At 44.6% G+C, this 14307-nt stretch overlaps 1 protein-coding gene across 35 annotated transcripts in view; it reads left to right on the top strand.

Annotated features, from left to right (window-relative positions):
• The window catches only part of DLGAP1 (DLG associated protein 1), a 959276-nt gene that overhangs the window by 739367 nt on the left and 205602 nt on the right, over positions 1-14307 (top strand). For 2 of the 35 annotated variants that reach the window (XM_047437936.1, XM_011525771.4), the window contains exon 8: positions 7440-7595. The exons of the other annotated variants lie outside the window; for them this stretch is intronic. In XM_047437936.1, the coding sequence (XP_047293892.1) occupies positions 7440-7480 (41 nt within the window). In that variant the 3' untranslated portion in view covers positions 7481-7595. Of the gene's footprint in view, positions 1-7439; positions 7596-14307 lie in introns of those variants that run through there. 35 annotated transcript variants of the gene reach the window in all.

Here is a 14307-nt window from a genome sequence, read left to right as displayed (position 1 = left end):
AGATTTTTGTAGGGCTTTTTTCCCCCTCTTCAGATGTCAGAGGCAGTTAATTTGCAAACCACAGTTGCAGGTGGTTTTTGAAGTGGAGGGAGTTTAGGACAAAGGAATAAAGCTACATAAAACCAGTTCATGGTGTCTTTAAAAATATAAATCCATGCCTTTGTAGTCCTTACTCTAACAAAAGCTCAGCTCTCAAGGGCATGCTTTCAGTTGTACCTGTGTTCCAGCCAGAAAAACTCCCCAAGCAATTATGGTAAGAAAAAAAGGTTTCTGTCACAGCCACGACCTAATATAATAGTGTAAACCATCTGTGTTTTCAGAAAGGGAAAGTGCTCTCGAAAATAGGAAAAGTGAAGTGCTGGGTGGAATTGTGAAGAGTCATGGCAAATCATCATCATCGTTATCCATTCAGAGAGAAAGTGATATTGACAAACCTACGCTAAAAGAGGATTAAGAAACCTTGCATTGTGAGCTGTGTCAAAGCAATGAAACAAAGGATAATGCTTTCTCGTACACCTGTACACCTCAGTGCAGCACTGTGCAAGCTCTAGTAGGAATAGTGCTACTGAGTTAGCTGGTGACATTCATTGCAGCCTGTGCCTTTCCCTTCTCCAACCTCTTCCTTGACTTTTCCTTTGCCTTCCCTTTTTCTTGCTCTTTTCCAGAGAGAGCTCAAAGGCATTTGTCCATTTCTCACCCATTCCAACAGCTCTAGGGGAAACTTTAGGAAAAGTAAAAACAGCCATGCTCACCAGTTCTCTCTTTTCTGACCCATGTTCTTCTGGAACTCTCTGTTTGAGGGAATGTGGCAGGAATGAGAACCTAGAAATAAGCAGTTGAGCTTCTTCCATTCATATGGTTACACTGCCTTGGACAAGAGTACCAAAGGCTGGTAATTCCCAACCCATATTTTGTAGGACAAGTTACTTCAAAGCATTGTGAAGCCTTCATCTAAAAGAAAGAGAAACTACATCTGCAGTGTTGTCTGCGGAATTTTAAAACCTTACTGGGCGTGGTGGCTCACACCTGTAATCCCAGCACTTTGGGAAGCAGAGGCAGGCAAATCACCTTGAGGTCAGGAGTTCGAGACCAGCCTGGCCAACATGGCGAAACCCCGTCTCTACTAAAAAATACAAAAATTAGCCAGGCGTGGTGGCACGTGCCTATAATCCCAGCTACTCGGGGAGGCTGAGGCAGGAGAATCTCTTGAACCTGGGAGGTGGAGGTCTCAGTGAGCCAAGATCACACCATTGCATGACAGAGCGAGACTCCCTCTAAAAAAAAAAAAAAAAAAAAAAAAACCACGTAATCAGCTAATTCTTTTAAACCTATTAGTATGCTGTGGCAGTCAAGCTGAATGTGTGCAACAGGAGGCTTTCAACCCAAGATGATGAGCAAACCAAAGCTGATTTTCAGCCTAGTGCTTAGGTTTTGTCATGAACATTAATAGGAACTGTACGTGTTATCCAGAGCCTCCCATTTGGGGGTGCATCTCCATCCTTGTGGGGTTGTACCGTCATCCCTTCTGGGATTGTATTTCCATCCCTTCTGGGGCTATACATCCATCTACTCATGCACAACCTATGGCTGTGTTTGAGAAACAATGGACTATTCAAAACAGCATGTAGTTTGTAGTGATTCTTTCCAAAAACGACTCTTCTAGATTTCAGCTGCATAGCAGAAAACCCTAAACTGTCTTAGAAAATCATACGTTGTTTTGCTTTGCTTCCATGGAAAGTCTTCATAGGATTATATGACTGAACAGGACACCCATATCTGTCTCCCCTGGAATTAATTTCGAATCAAAATTGTTTTTTTAAAAAAGGGGATTAAGAAACTTGTGGTGCTTAGATAAAATTCTTTCCTAAGAAATTGTTTCTGATGTTAACACCGTACCTCCAGAAGCATTGGAACAGAATTGGTTGATCAAGTCGGCTTCCCAGGGCACATCCTCGGACGATGCTGTGAGGATATGTGGGTGTTTCAGAATAGGGCGGAATCCTGACAGTGTCCCCACTTGGCTGCCTGTTTTCCTATGTAATCCAACATGGTAAATCATCCTCAAAACCTTTTATTTTTGGATTTCCCATATGTTCAAATGTGAGTACTCTGCACAGCAGTCCCACCGTGGACACCCACTGAACATCTGCAGTGCGCCAGGCTCTCCTGAGTGCTCTGTGTCATAAACATGTTTCTTTCTATCACACAAGTGTCACGCTTCATATCAGAGGAAGGACCACCAAATACTTATGATTACTGAAGATACAATCAAGTGGAAGACCTAAAGCAAATTCTGAAAATAGAAGTATAAGCAAAGGCATAATTCATCAATGTGCCGCTTATTGCTTCTGCCTCCACTGAGCATACTTCTATCTTATACCATATGCCTTAATTTGATCCCAAACAGCAATTTGCACATGCTCATTCTTCTAACTACTAACAAGCCACTGTAACATTTACTCATTTCCCCTTTTAGACTGAAGCCTCCCCCACATGCACAAATCTTTCCAATTACTGTAAAAACTTCAGTTATCTGAGCGATGTGTCCACAGGCCTTCAACGCCATCCATCTTGGATTGACCTTGTCCTCATTCTTATCATTCTTTGCTCCTAATCTCCTCAGTTGTGGGGTTAATATCTCTTTTGTAGATTATGGCACCAATTGCATGTTCTGGAAAAGGCAACTGGGAGTCCAATCAGTTGCAGCTGTGCAAACTGTAGCTCAGCTGATCCGGCTGTGAACAGCAGCAAAGAAGCAGGGAAACAGAGAAACGGTAGAATGGTCCTGAGTCCACACGAACCCAGGCTGTACTTGTTGGTGGTTCAGGGTCTATCCTGTGTATATAGATCTCCCAATAGTCTGCATCTGGTTTTTGCACCAAGGCAGGGTTTGATGAGGATTGATTGAAAAGAATAACAGCTTTAAAGGCCAGTACTAGAGCTTTTGCAAATATTCACTGTGTCCTGCCCCATCCTTCTGAACACATCTGAAGGATAACTCTGTAAAGGAAACAGTACCAGTAGAACAACTTCACTCCCACGAATTTGCCTTTCCAACTGGGTAAGTCAGTTAGGAGTGAATTGATTCCGCTTCTATCTTTTCGGTGCACTTGCTTAAACTTATAGTCCTGCTAGCTACAGAAAGTAGTAACTTAAGCACTTTAACTAAAACTTGTGATTGCCTCCTTCATTTTCCCATATGCACTGTGGGAAAGCCCCATGACGTCAGCTGCAATAAGCCAAGGAATGATTAGCAGGCCAGTTCTGTGGCTTGACAAGCTCCCCAGTAATTAGCCCCCTGACACCACTGCCATTTCACGCACCATATTGTCTCCCTGTAATGGGCCTGCTTAAAATCAGAGCTTATTCGCTACTTGGAGAAAATAACACTATGGGTCCCTATTAGCTCTTAATAACTGAGGTTAAATAATTCCATGAGGTGTTCTGTAAGGAGTGCCTTGTGGGAGTTAACAGGTACAGGTGAGAAGCATGAGCCCCAGGTGAGACTTTCCAGTGGGAAACCCTGGGTATCTAGGCCTCGGCCAAGTGCTACAGAGACCCTGCGTGCCCAGTAGGGAGGGTCAGGACAGAGACGGGTGAGCTGCTGGGAGTGCAAGCCCCGCGGCAAACGCTGCTCTTGCTCCCGAAGTCCACCCCTGCTCACTACCACACTGATGCTGGGCTGACCCCCACTACAGTCCAGGCTGTTTTCCACCTCTTCTAGAACACTCAAGAAATAAAGGTGGGGCTGCATTTCTCAAGGAGAATTGAGAAGGCAAAAAGTGCAGTGAGATCCCCACTCAGTAAGTGTGTGTTCTGGGTTTGCAGCCTCAGCCTTCAGGAGCAGAAAGAAAACCCAAACTTCTAGCCATTAACAGGCCATGCTCCCCCCATGCCACCCCACCGGGGTCAGTGTGATCGTCACAAAAATACCTCTAGCCAGAACCCAGGAATAGTTTGTTAGGACTCATGCCTCCTTATACATTTCTGTATGCCTCCCTTCCCACAGCCCATCCCCACACTCCCCATCCCTAAACCACAACCTCATACTCCGATGCATTTCTGTCTTCCTTTTTTTATTTTTTTCTTTTTCTTTCTTTTTGAGACAAGGTCTCACTCTGTTGCCCAGACTGGAGTGCAGTGGCATGATCATGGCTCACAACAGCCTTGATCTCCCGGGCTCAAGCAAGCCTCCCACCTGAGCCTCCCAAGTAGCTGGGACCACAGGTGGTGCCACTGAGCCAGCTAATATTTTAATTTTCTTTGTAGAGATGGAGCTTTGCTGTGTTGCCCAGGCTGGTCTCAGACTCCTGGGCTCAAGTGATCCTCCTGCCTCAGCCTCCCAAAGTGCCGGCATTAGAAGCATGAGCCACCACACCCGGCTGGATTTCTGTCTTATTCCTCACCACAGTCAACACAGCTGATGATCTGGGTGGGATACGTGAGCCACTTTTAGGTGATTGAAGTTGAAGTTGTCTCACCTAGGTGGGTATTTTTATTTTTTGTTTTACATTCTATTTTTGTTCCAATAGACTAATTGGGCATATACATTTTATAAACAGGTCGATTTACCTGGCTATTCTTTAACACAATTTTTATCATTCATAGTGATATGATCTGATTCACTTGCATGATGAAAGCATTGATCACTGGAGTCATTACAGAAGGGGCATCAAGCTGTAGCTTTTATTCTCTCCAGTTATCAAGTTCTTATCAGATTTAAATGCCTGAAACAACAAGGATATGCCCTTGGCTTTGTTTTTACTTCCCTTTGTGCTGCCCTCTTACACTCTGTGGCTGAGATCATCGTGTTTATAGCCAAGTCTCTGCCAGACCTTGCCCAGGGCGGCCCCTCCTGGCTCTCTGACTTCCTCTGTCGTGTTTCTGGACTCTTCTGTTGCAGACGCACTGGCCTTCTTCTTGCCCTCACTCCCGTGTTTCCCTAGCCCTGCCCTCTGACCTCTGTGTGCCACCTTCTCAGGAACACCTGTTACTTATTAGACACTCACCAGGGAACCATGACCCACACATGGAGAGCTCTGACCTTCTGGAACCCAGCGAGCTTGTTCCTGCCTTAGGGCTCTGGCGCTGCTTCCACCCACCCCCTACACCCGTGCCTGGAGTCCTTCCTCCACCTCCCAACTCCATGTTCACATCTCTGTCTCATGGCCACTTGGCTCTGCCCCAAGTCAATCTCTTGTCCTTTGCAATGCTTACTTTTTCTTCATGACACTTACTGCCACATGAAATTAAATATTCACTTGTGTATTTGTCATCTCAATTCCAGCCAAAAAATTTTTCTGTCTTGTTCACTACTATGCCTCCAGCTCTTAGAACAGTGACATCTATAGTGAATGCTTTAAAAATATATATGGAATAAATAAGTAAAAGAGGGCTGTGCTTTCCTCTCCACAGTCATTGACACCGTCCTTGACGGGAGCTTTTCTGGGAACAGTGGGGAGAACATTAGACCAGAGTCTTTAACCTTCTAAACCTATACCTCTTCTTGATAAACTAACAAACAAACAAAAATTCAAATTCATGTCCCTCTGCAGAGCCTGAAGCTGGGTGTGGAGGAGAAAGGGCGGGGGATGACGTAGGGCCCCTATCAAAAATCTGCAGGGGCAGGTGAGAATTTTTTATCACAAGGAGTCTTGAGTCCCAGCCCCTCAAATCATTTTCCCTAAATATTCCTTCCTTTTGGTAGGAGTAGGATAAGAGTGTGTGAGAAGTGTTCCGTTTTGGTAGCTTGTCTTTCCTAGTGTAAAATGAAAGACCATTGGGTATTTATGGAGAGAGCCCACTGCACAGAGAAGCATAAATCCATCCATGTCCCAAGCTATATGTGCTAAACGTAGCCACACAGGAAGAATCACTTCCTCCACTACAGAAAATAGCAGCTCCCTATTTTAAATGTGCTTCTCATTGGCTGTAGGAGTAGCAGTAATTCATCTTCTATAGACCTGAGTTTTAGTTTTGTGAACTGATGTATAAAGGAAACCAGGTTTGGGCCTGTCCTGGGCTCCTTAGATCTCAGAGGCAGGAGATCATACCCTTATGCCCATGCTGTCTACTTCTAATTCCAGTATTAACTGGGCATGGCAACGGTAGGAATGCAGAGAAAAGAGGAATATCAAGTATTATTGAATCCTTCAGTCCCGCAAACACTGAACACTTCTCTGTGCCAAACCCCGGGTGCAGGGCTGGGGGAAATCGTGCCTGCCCTGGAGGGGTTCACAGTCTTGCATGGAAACCTACTTTTTCCATTGACTTTTCATGTCAATACCATGTGCTAAATCTTCAATTTCTGCACTGCTGCTTTACAGTGAGTCTCTAGGACCCAGTGCAAATGTACATGTTCTGCACAGACTGAAAAAATGTTGAAAAGCCTGGTGTACTGTCTCCCTAAATGACCAAGGGATTGTATACAGTGGACATGTGCAATTACTTTCAACTCTACTGGTACGTTGTTGAGAACTCAACTTCAGGTCAAACATGCTAACAGTTCAGCTCACATTCGAACAAAGCTTATCAGATCAAAGGAGCTGGCACAATACTGCTCTGTGGTTTACTGGTGTATAGTGAAGCATTCTTAAAATACATTCTTCAGTCTTAGGAAGGCTCCTAAAGGGGTGTCTTCGGTAAATATTTGGAGGCAGATTGGGCCAGCACAGAGTGAAGGAAGGTGTGTAGGGGGTTGGAGTGCATGTCAGGTTGCACGGCAGCTTTCTCATTTTATTTAGGCCCAGGACTTGGGTTCTTCTATGTAGTTTTTCTTCATAGCACTTGCCATCATTTGCAAGTGTATATTTATAGGAGCACTTTGAAGGAAGGACTATGTTTTTTCCACGGTTGTATAACCAGTATCTGGCATATAATAAATACTCAGTAAATATTTGTTGAATAAATTAACTAAACAAATAGACTTTGTAAATTTTTTTCTGTCCCAGTCTTTTTGGAGAGTGGATTCAACCAAACTGTAGGCTTTTGAAGAGGTGTAAGGCATCTCAAAGGCAGACAGAGATTTCCCTGAAAAATCTGTTTTTAAAGAAACCTGGTCCTCTCTCCCTTCTTCCTTCCACCTAATGTGCACCTGGGAGAGAAGCTTCAGAAAGTCATATCTGAGTCACAATGAGGAGTCTCTTTACGCGTACTGTCAAGTACGCTCTTACAATTTATTTTCTCCAAGAAAAAGCTAATTCAGGTCCTTTTGTATCCTTTTCCTTCATTACCATTTCCAAGCTTTAGCTTACTTACGATTGTGCTTACTTAAGCTTTTAAATTCTTGTTGTAGAGTGTGCCCCAAAATTTAAAGCCACTTAAGTCCAGATGCCCATCGCAAACAGATTCCCTCATCCTCCACCCTTCCTGAAGGTGCTCTTGGAGAGGAAGAGGCAGGAAACGGAGCAGAAATGAGACACTTGTATTGTCCTTTGCAGGGAGCCTTGACAAGAAGCTGGAATCCTGGGCGCTAGGGTAGGAAGACATGACTCCTCCACCCCTGATACCACTCAGGCAAAATGGGTAAAGATCACCCCATATGAACTTCAACTTGGTGAATTCACAGCTCTCACAATAAAAAACATTTTGTTTTACAACGGTCAGATGTGTGTTCTTGCTCAGATAGGAATTACAGCTGGGCACAGTGGCTCATGCCTGTAATTCCAAAACTTTGGGAGGCTGAGGCAGGTGGATCACTTGAAGTCAAGCATTCAAGACCAGCCTGGCCAACATGGTGAAATCCCGTCTCTCCTGAAAAGTACAAAAATTAGCTGGGTGTGGTGGTGCACACCTGTAGTCCCAGCTATTCTGGAGGTTGAGGTGGGAGGATTGCTTGAGCCCCGGAGGTGGAGGTTGCAGTGAGCTGGGGTCACGCCACTGCACTCCAGCCTGGGTGACAGAGTGAGACCCTGTCTCAAAAAAAAAAAAAGGAATTACAAAGGATGAGTTGTATGCAGTTTTTTGCCATTTTCTCATGGATGAAACAATGTCATTCTGAATTTCAAAAGAGATTGCAGACCTGGCCAAGAAGAGGTTCCTTCTGTGGTAGTCCTCTGCTCCTAAGCACCAAGTCACCCAGTGGCCCCAACATCCCTTCTTTAGAAGAACTTTATTCCTGTGCCCGTTTAATGTGACCAAAGAGCTCCAAGAAGCCCCTTTCAATCAGGCAGACATAATCCTTGCCTTCATAGAAACTGATTTCTACCTTCCAGGAACGCAGCACCAATGCAGGAAAACAGACAAATATATCCACGATTACAGTGTAGTATTCTAAGCGCAATGAAAAGACATGCACAAGATAATCTAGGGTCTGTTTTCTTTTTTTTTTTTTTCTTTGAGATGGAGTCTCACTCACTCTGTCACCCAGGCTGGAGTGCAGTGGCGTGATCTCGGCTCACTGCAACCTCTGCCTCCCAGATTCAAGCAATTCTCCTGTCTCAGCCTCCTGAGCAGCTGGGATTACAGGCACGCACCACCACATCTGGCTAATATTTTTGTACTTTTAGTAGAGATGGGTTTTCACCATTTTGGCCAGGCTGATCTCAAACTGCTGACCTCCAGTGATCCACCCACCTCGGCCTTCTAAAGTGCTGGGATTACAGGCATGAGCCACTGCACCCCGTCTAGGGTCCATTTTCTTCTGCTTCCATCAAAAGCATGAGAAGTAGTTCTCTTCCAAAGATAGAGATCTTCACACCACCGTCTTTCTCCCTTTCTTTTCTTAGAGCGTAGAGGTACAATGAGAGAACTTGCAAGAGTCATGAAATATTAAGATATAAACTGTATTCAGATAGGTGGGTTCAGGTGGGTAAATAAGAGATAAGCAAACAAATACTAGATCTTGGCTTACTAATTAATCAGTCCCTTAACAACCCATTTCTCCATTATATTCTCCATGTAACCCACAATTGCATGCGTAATACTTTGATGTCATTCAGTTCTCCCTTGCTGAACTCAGTTCTTCTCTTAAATTCCATATTAAAATTCCTTTTCCGCCCATTCCCAAACTCAGTGGCACTGATATCTTGTAGATGTTGGTATTCTTTTGAATACCTCTTTGTCAAGTTCTCATTTGGGGAAACTTTTTTCTACCAGGACGTATTAGTTTAGGGCTGTGTGCTTTCCTGAAGTTTCTTGCTTACTTGCCCCTAGTAAGTCAACATACCCTTCTGGCTGGAGTCGCCTCTCTGTGGTCTGTATCAGATCATTCTGTCATCTCTTCAGTTTCTCTCTGCATCCAGATCACAATGTTGCTCAACACATCACTGACGTCACTCAGAGTCTCACATGTGCAAGCCTTCGATAAGCTCCATCTCCAACATCAACATTTATGCTTGCAGACTAACATTACGTTTTCATACCTACAAGCTTTGGTGAGAAAGCTTTGGGTAAGAAAATTTATATCCTATTTTCCAGCTCCTTGGCCTTTTATTTTTGCCCGGGAGCTGTTGATGCTTGCTCTTTGCAGGAAGGCTGAAGGGAAGGAGTCAGCCTGTCCTCATTAAGCACATCAATGCTGTTCCTGAGTGTGGAGACACAATGGCCCTTATGTGTCCATCACCCTGCAAGCTTCAGGGCTGGTATTAAATGCATGCTGGCCATTTATTGTATCTTCCAAACTGAGTGTGAAAAATGCACCATTTGCCAGGCGTGGTGGCTCACGCCTGTAATCCCAACAGTTTGGGAGGCCGAGGTGGGTGGATCACTTGAGGTTAGGAGTTTAAGACCAGCCTGGCCAATATGGTGAAAACTTGTCTCTACTAAAAATACAAAAAGTTAACCAGGCATGGTGGTGAGTGCCTGTAATCCCAGTTACTTGGGAAGCTGAGGCAGGAGAATCACTTGAACCCCAAGGCAGAGGTTGCAGTGAGCAGAGATTGCGCCTGGGCAATCCAGCCTGGGCGATCCAGCCTGGGCGACAGAGTGAGTGAGATTCCATCTCAAAAAAAAAAAAAAATGCACCATTAATAATTATACTGGGGGCCGAGCGCGGTGGCTCACGCCTGTAATCCCAGCACTTTGGGAGGCCAAGCAGGGAGGATCACCTGAGGCCAGGAGTTCGAGACCAGCCTGGCCAACATGGTGAAACCTCATCTCTACTAAAAATACAAAAATTAGCTGCGCGTGGTAGCACAGGCCTGTGATCCCAGCTACTAGGGAGGCTAAGGCAGGAGAATCACTTGAACCCAGGAGGCAGAGGTTGTAGTGAGCCGAGATCGAGCCACTGCACTCCAGCCTGGGCAACAGAGCAAGACTCTGTCTCAAAAATAATAATAATAATAATAATTACTATTATTATTATTATACTGGGATATATGGTCACCTTAGTTAAAATGACATTTTGAGTCTGGAATTGTGTTTAAGTCCTGGGCCCTTGGTGAAACAATATTTTAATGCTCCTTGGGGTCTGATGGTTTGGGCAGAGTAGCCTTTTATGAAGAATTATACTGCGACTAAATCAGTATGATATGTTTAGCTCCATATTTTCCAGCAAATTTTTAAGGGATAAATACAGATAACTCATTGCAACTATAATACTGCACCATACAAGCACAATGCTGTTGACAAGGAGGTATACAGAGCAAAGCAAAACTGCATTCTAACCCCCTGAAGTTTCCTGGAAAAAAAAAAAAAAAGTAGCCTGAAAAGTTGAAAATGTTTCTTTCCACAAAATAAACTGGAATAATCCCTTCATTTATTTTAGAGTCCTTTCAGATAGCCTTGCAGATGGTTCGCTGAAGTCATCATGCCAACAAAATTCGTTTGACTCAAAAATTTAAATAGCCCTACCAAATTATGTGTGTTTCTCTTCTAATAAAAAACTGAATGTCTTATTTCTATCTGCTAAGCTTATTCCACTCTGCAGTTTGTGAACTGAACTACAGAAATAACTCCTTAGAGATGCACACTTTTGTCCTCTATTACCCAATTCTGGAATCCCCAAATATAGTGTTATAAATGCTGACTTTTCTCATTTGCTTTTGCATGTATTCATGTCTTGTCTCTTTACACAAGACTGCTATCCAAAACATCCAAAAGGCATTAAATACTAATATTATGGAATCATAAAGGTGTTCTTTCTTCTTCTAATTGCATGCATTCCTGCCAGTCTCTATGACCACAGCTGAGTGACAGATAAAGCCCAAATTAAAAATACTTCCCTCTTGGCAAGATACCTCCAACCCAGTGGGCTGCTCAGTTGGAAAGCTGGGAAGTGGAGAGGCATGAGTCACTGTGTTCTCTCAGACATTTTAATTCAGAGTTGTTTAAGAAGATTTAAAAAAAAAAATCAAGCAATGGACCCCCAAAATGACCATTTCTCACTAAGTCATGAAATTTAATTTTTTCTTTTTCTTTTTTTTTTAGATGGAGTCTCGCTGTGTCACCCAGGCTGGAGTCTGGAGTGCAGTGGTGCAGTCTCGGCTCACTGCAACCTCTGCCTCCCGGGTTCAAGCGATTCTCCTGCCTCAGCCTCCCGAGTAGCTGGGATTACTGGCGCCTGCCACCACACCAGCTAATTTTTGTATTTTTAGTAGAGACAGGGTTTCACCATGTTGTCCAGGCTGGTCTCGAACTCCTGACCTCAAGTAATCCACCTGCCTCGACCTCCCAAAGTGCTGGGATTACAGGCATGAGCCACCACACCCGGTCAATTTTTTCTTTAATGTGGGAAACAGAATTGCCACCTCTCCCTGCAACACCTGAAAGGAAGCATGGTCTCTAGGCAAAGCCATTCTTGCCAACCTCTGGGGTCCCTGGCATGTGGCACTCAGCCCTTCCCGTGGGCCCCGCAGAGCATCCTCCTAGGGGCTAGGATGTGGAGAAATGCAGTGAGGTGACTCAGCTGCTGTGTCCTTTCTGCTGTCACTGCTGTCTTGTTTTTACATTTTTTAAAGTATCTGTTCTTGGGTGCTTATGGTTTTACAAAGCAGCCCTAATGTTCCCAATGGTATAATTGCCTGATATAGCCATGACTGCTGCTCTGGGAACTGTCAAGATTAGAAGCCCTGCCTGTGAAGGGGAACGTGGGGAGGAATTTGTATCATGTAGGGTGCAGTAATCTCCAAGGAAATTCTCTTCGCAAAAACCGTGTGTGGAAAGTCTCCCTCTGGCGGCTGCTGAGGTGTGTTCATAGGGGAAAGAATGCATGTCAACCGTAAATGGAGTCTGTGAAGCTGCAACTAAAATGTTTCCAGAAAAGAGGGCATTTGGTTGCATCTTCGGGAGGAAAATAAGAAACAATTCTTTTCTAGAATTAAAAAACAAAAACAAAAAACAAAAAAGAACGAAAAGAGAAGAAGAATGCAGAGAATGTGTCCATATCTAGTGAACTTTCAAATATCCCTCCGTCTTCTAAAAAGAAACAAGTGGACAACAGCCACTCGCTCTCCTCTGAACACACATCCTCCTCACACTCCTCCTTCTACAGAGATCAGGGCCACTGCACTTTCGTGCTTGAAGCAGTTCTGGGAATTTCTGTCCTCTATTTTCTGTGTCTGTCTAGTTCACTACCAGTCTCATTTATTTGTCCTTTATAGTATTTCTTTATGATACTTCTCATGTTTTCTTGCCCTTCCTATTAATTTCTCCAGCCTATGCATGGACAACTGCCCAGTGGCATTTGGAGTAAATGCAATAAAATTCAGAGCACGTGAATCAAAGGCTCTCAGTTGGCAAGTTCAGGTCTTTTGTCAGGACAGCGCCACATTCCATCCCAAGGACCAGCTATATCCGGTGATCCTGAGACACAATCTTGACACCACTTCAAAGATTCTGGAATTTGGAATTCAGGACCTCTAGTGCCATCATGTGCCTGGGTCCCCATCCTCCTTCCTAACCCTTGTTTTCCCTGAATGGCCTCATGACCTGTTGGCACCATCAGGCTCCACATCTTAACCAGCTCTGGGCTGATCCTGCCTTCACAGAATTGAGAACACTCCAGAGACCCTTGCTTGCCTTTGTCCTAGCAAGTAAGCTTTCATGTCAATTTCTAAGACAAAGTCTCCATCTTATACTCCTTTCTGGGACTTGGATCCCTGTCCTCTCTCTTCTCCCTCTGTCCCTTACTGCTTCCTGGATGAACTGCCTGTACCTGAGTGGCTGCAGGAGCGAGCCTGTCATTCTCCTCAACCCCACTGGTAAGGGGCCTGCCACTGGGCTGCCCTGACTTTTCAGTTGTTACTTATTCCTCATCCAGCAGCTGTCTCCTTCCAGATCTGAGCCCTCTGGCTCCCCACAGAGATTTACTTAAAGTCTTCCAGCTGTGTGATTTGCTAAGATGCCAGCTACCTTGTTGTATCTGATTACTTCTAAGATGATACATATAGGATCCCATAGCCTGCCTCGCTCCCCTGTCTCTCAAACCCAGGGAAGGGTCTAGGAAGAAGCCCAGGATCCTAGGGCGCCTGCATGCAGGAAGTCCACAACCCTGCCAGGCTCTCCCCTAGGGGTCTGTTGCTGCCTCTCTTGGGAACTTGTCTATTGCCATCCCATAGAAAGGTAGCAATTTATGCCTTCCTGGTTTTGATAACATTTCCCAAACATGTTTACTCCTGTGAAGCATATCCAATTGAGCACCATGAAGCACACCTGCTATTTTAAAATTCAAGGTAGACGTCAGGAGCGGCTTACGCCTGTAATCCCAGCACTTTGGGAAGCCGAGGTGGGCGGATCACCTGAGGTCAGGAGTTCGAGACCAACCTAGCCAACATGGTGAAACTTCATGCCGGGCGTGGTGGCAGACGCCTGTAATCCCAGCTACTTGGGAGGCTGAGGCAGGAGAATCGCTTGAACCCGGGAGGCAAAGGTTGCATTGAGCCGAGATTGTGCCATTGCCCTCCAGCATGGGGGACAAGTATGAGACTCTGTCTCAAAAGTAAATAAATAATTAATTTAATTAATTAAAATAAAGGTAGTGTCAGGGTACTCATACATAGAGAATAACATAAATGTATACATCTCAACCTTACCCCGATATCTTGGCACACATTTGAAATCTTAAACAGTCACTTCAAGAACTCCCTATGTCTCTCCGTCTCTCACACACACAGAGCCCCTCCTACGACTCTTCTCACTCTTGACTCTTGAGGTCATCTTGTCTTATCTCTCTCTATGTCCATCTGCCAGATCGCAGCAGAATTACCTCAATTCATCCTAGAGAAACAGGTCCCTCTTTGCTCTGAACCCAAAATATACCAACCCAGCTTCAGATGGTATCTTCTCTCTTCTTTATCACCCAAAGTCCAAACAGTCTCCTGGACTCAGCCCACAGAGCTTCTCTGCACCAACCTCTTCTCTACTTTAGAC

This window comes from Homo sapiens, chromosome 18, assembly GCF_000001405.40.
Source record: "Homo sapiens chromosome 18, GRCh38.p14 Primary Assembly".
In the NCBI taxonomy this organism is placed as follows: Eukaryota; Metazoa; Chordata; class Mammalia; order Primates; family Hominidae; genus Homo; species Homo sapiens.
The sequence above is the reverse complement of the archived record's forward strand: the minus strand, read 5'-3'. Positions and strand labels throughout refer to the sequence as shown.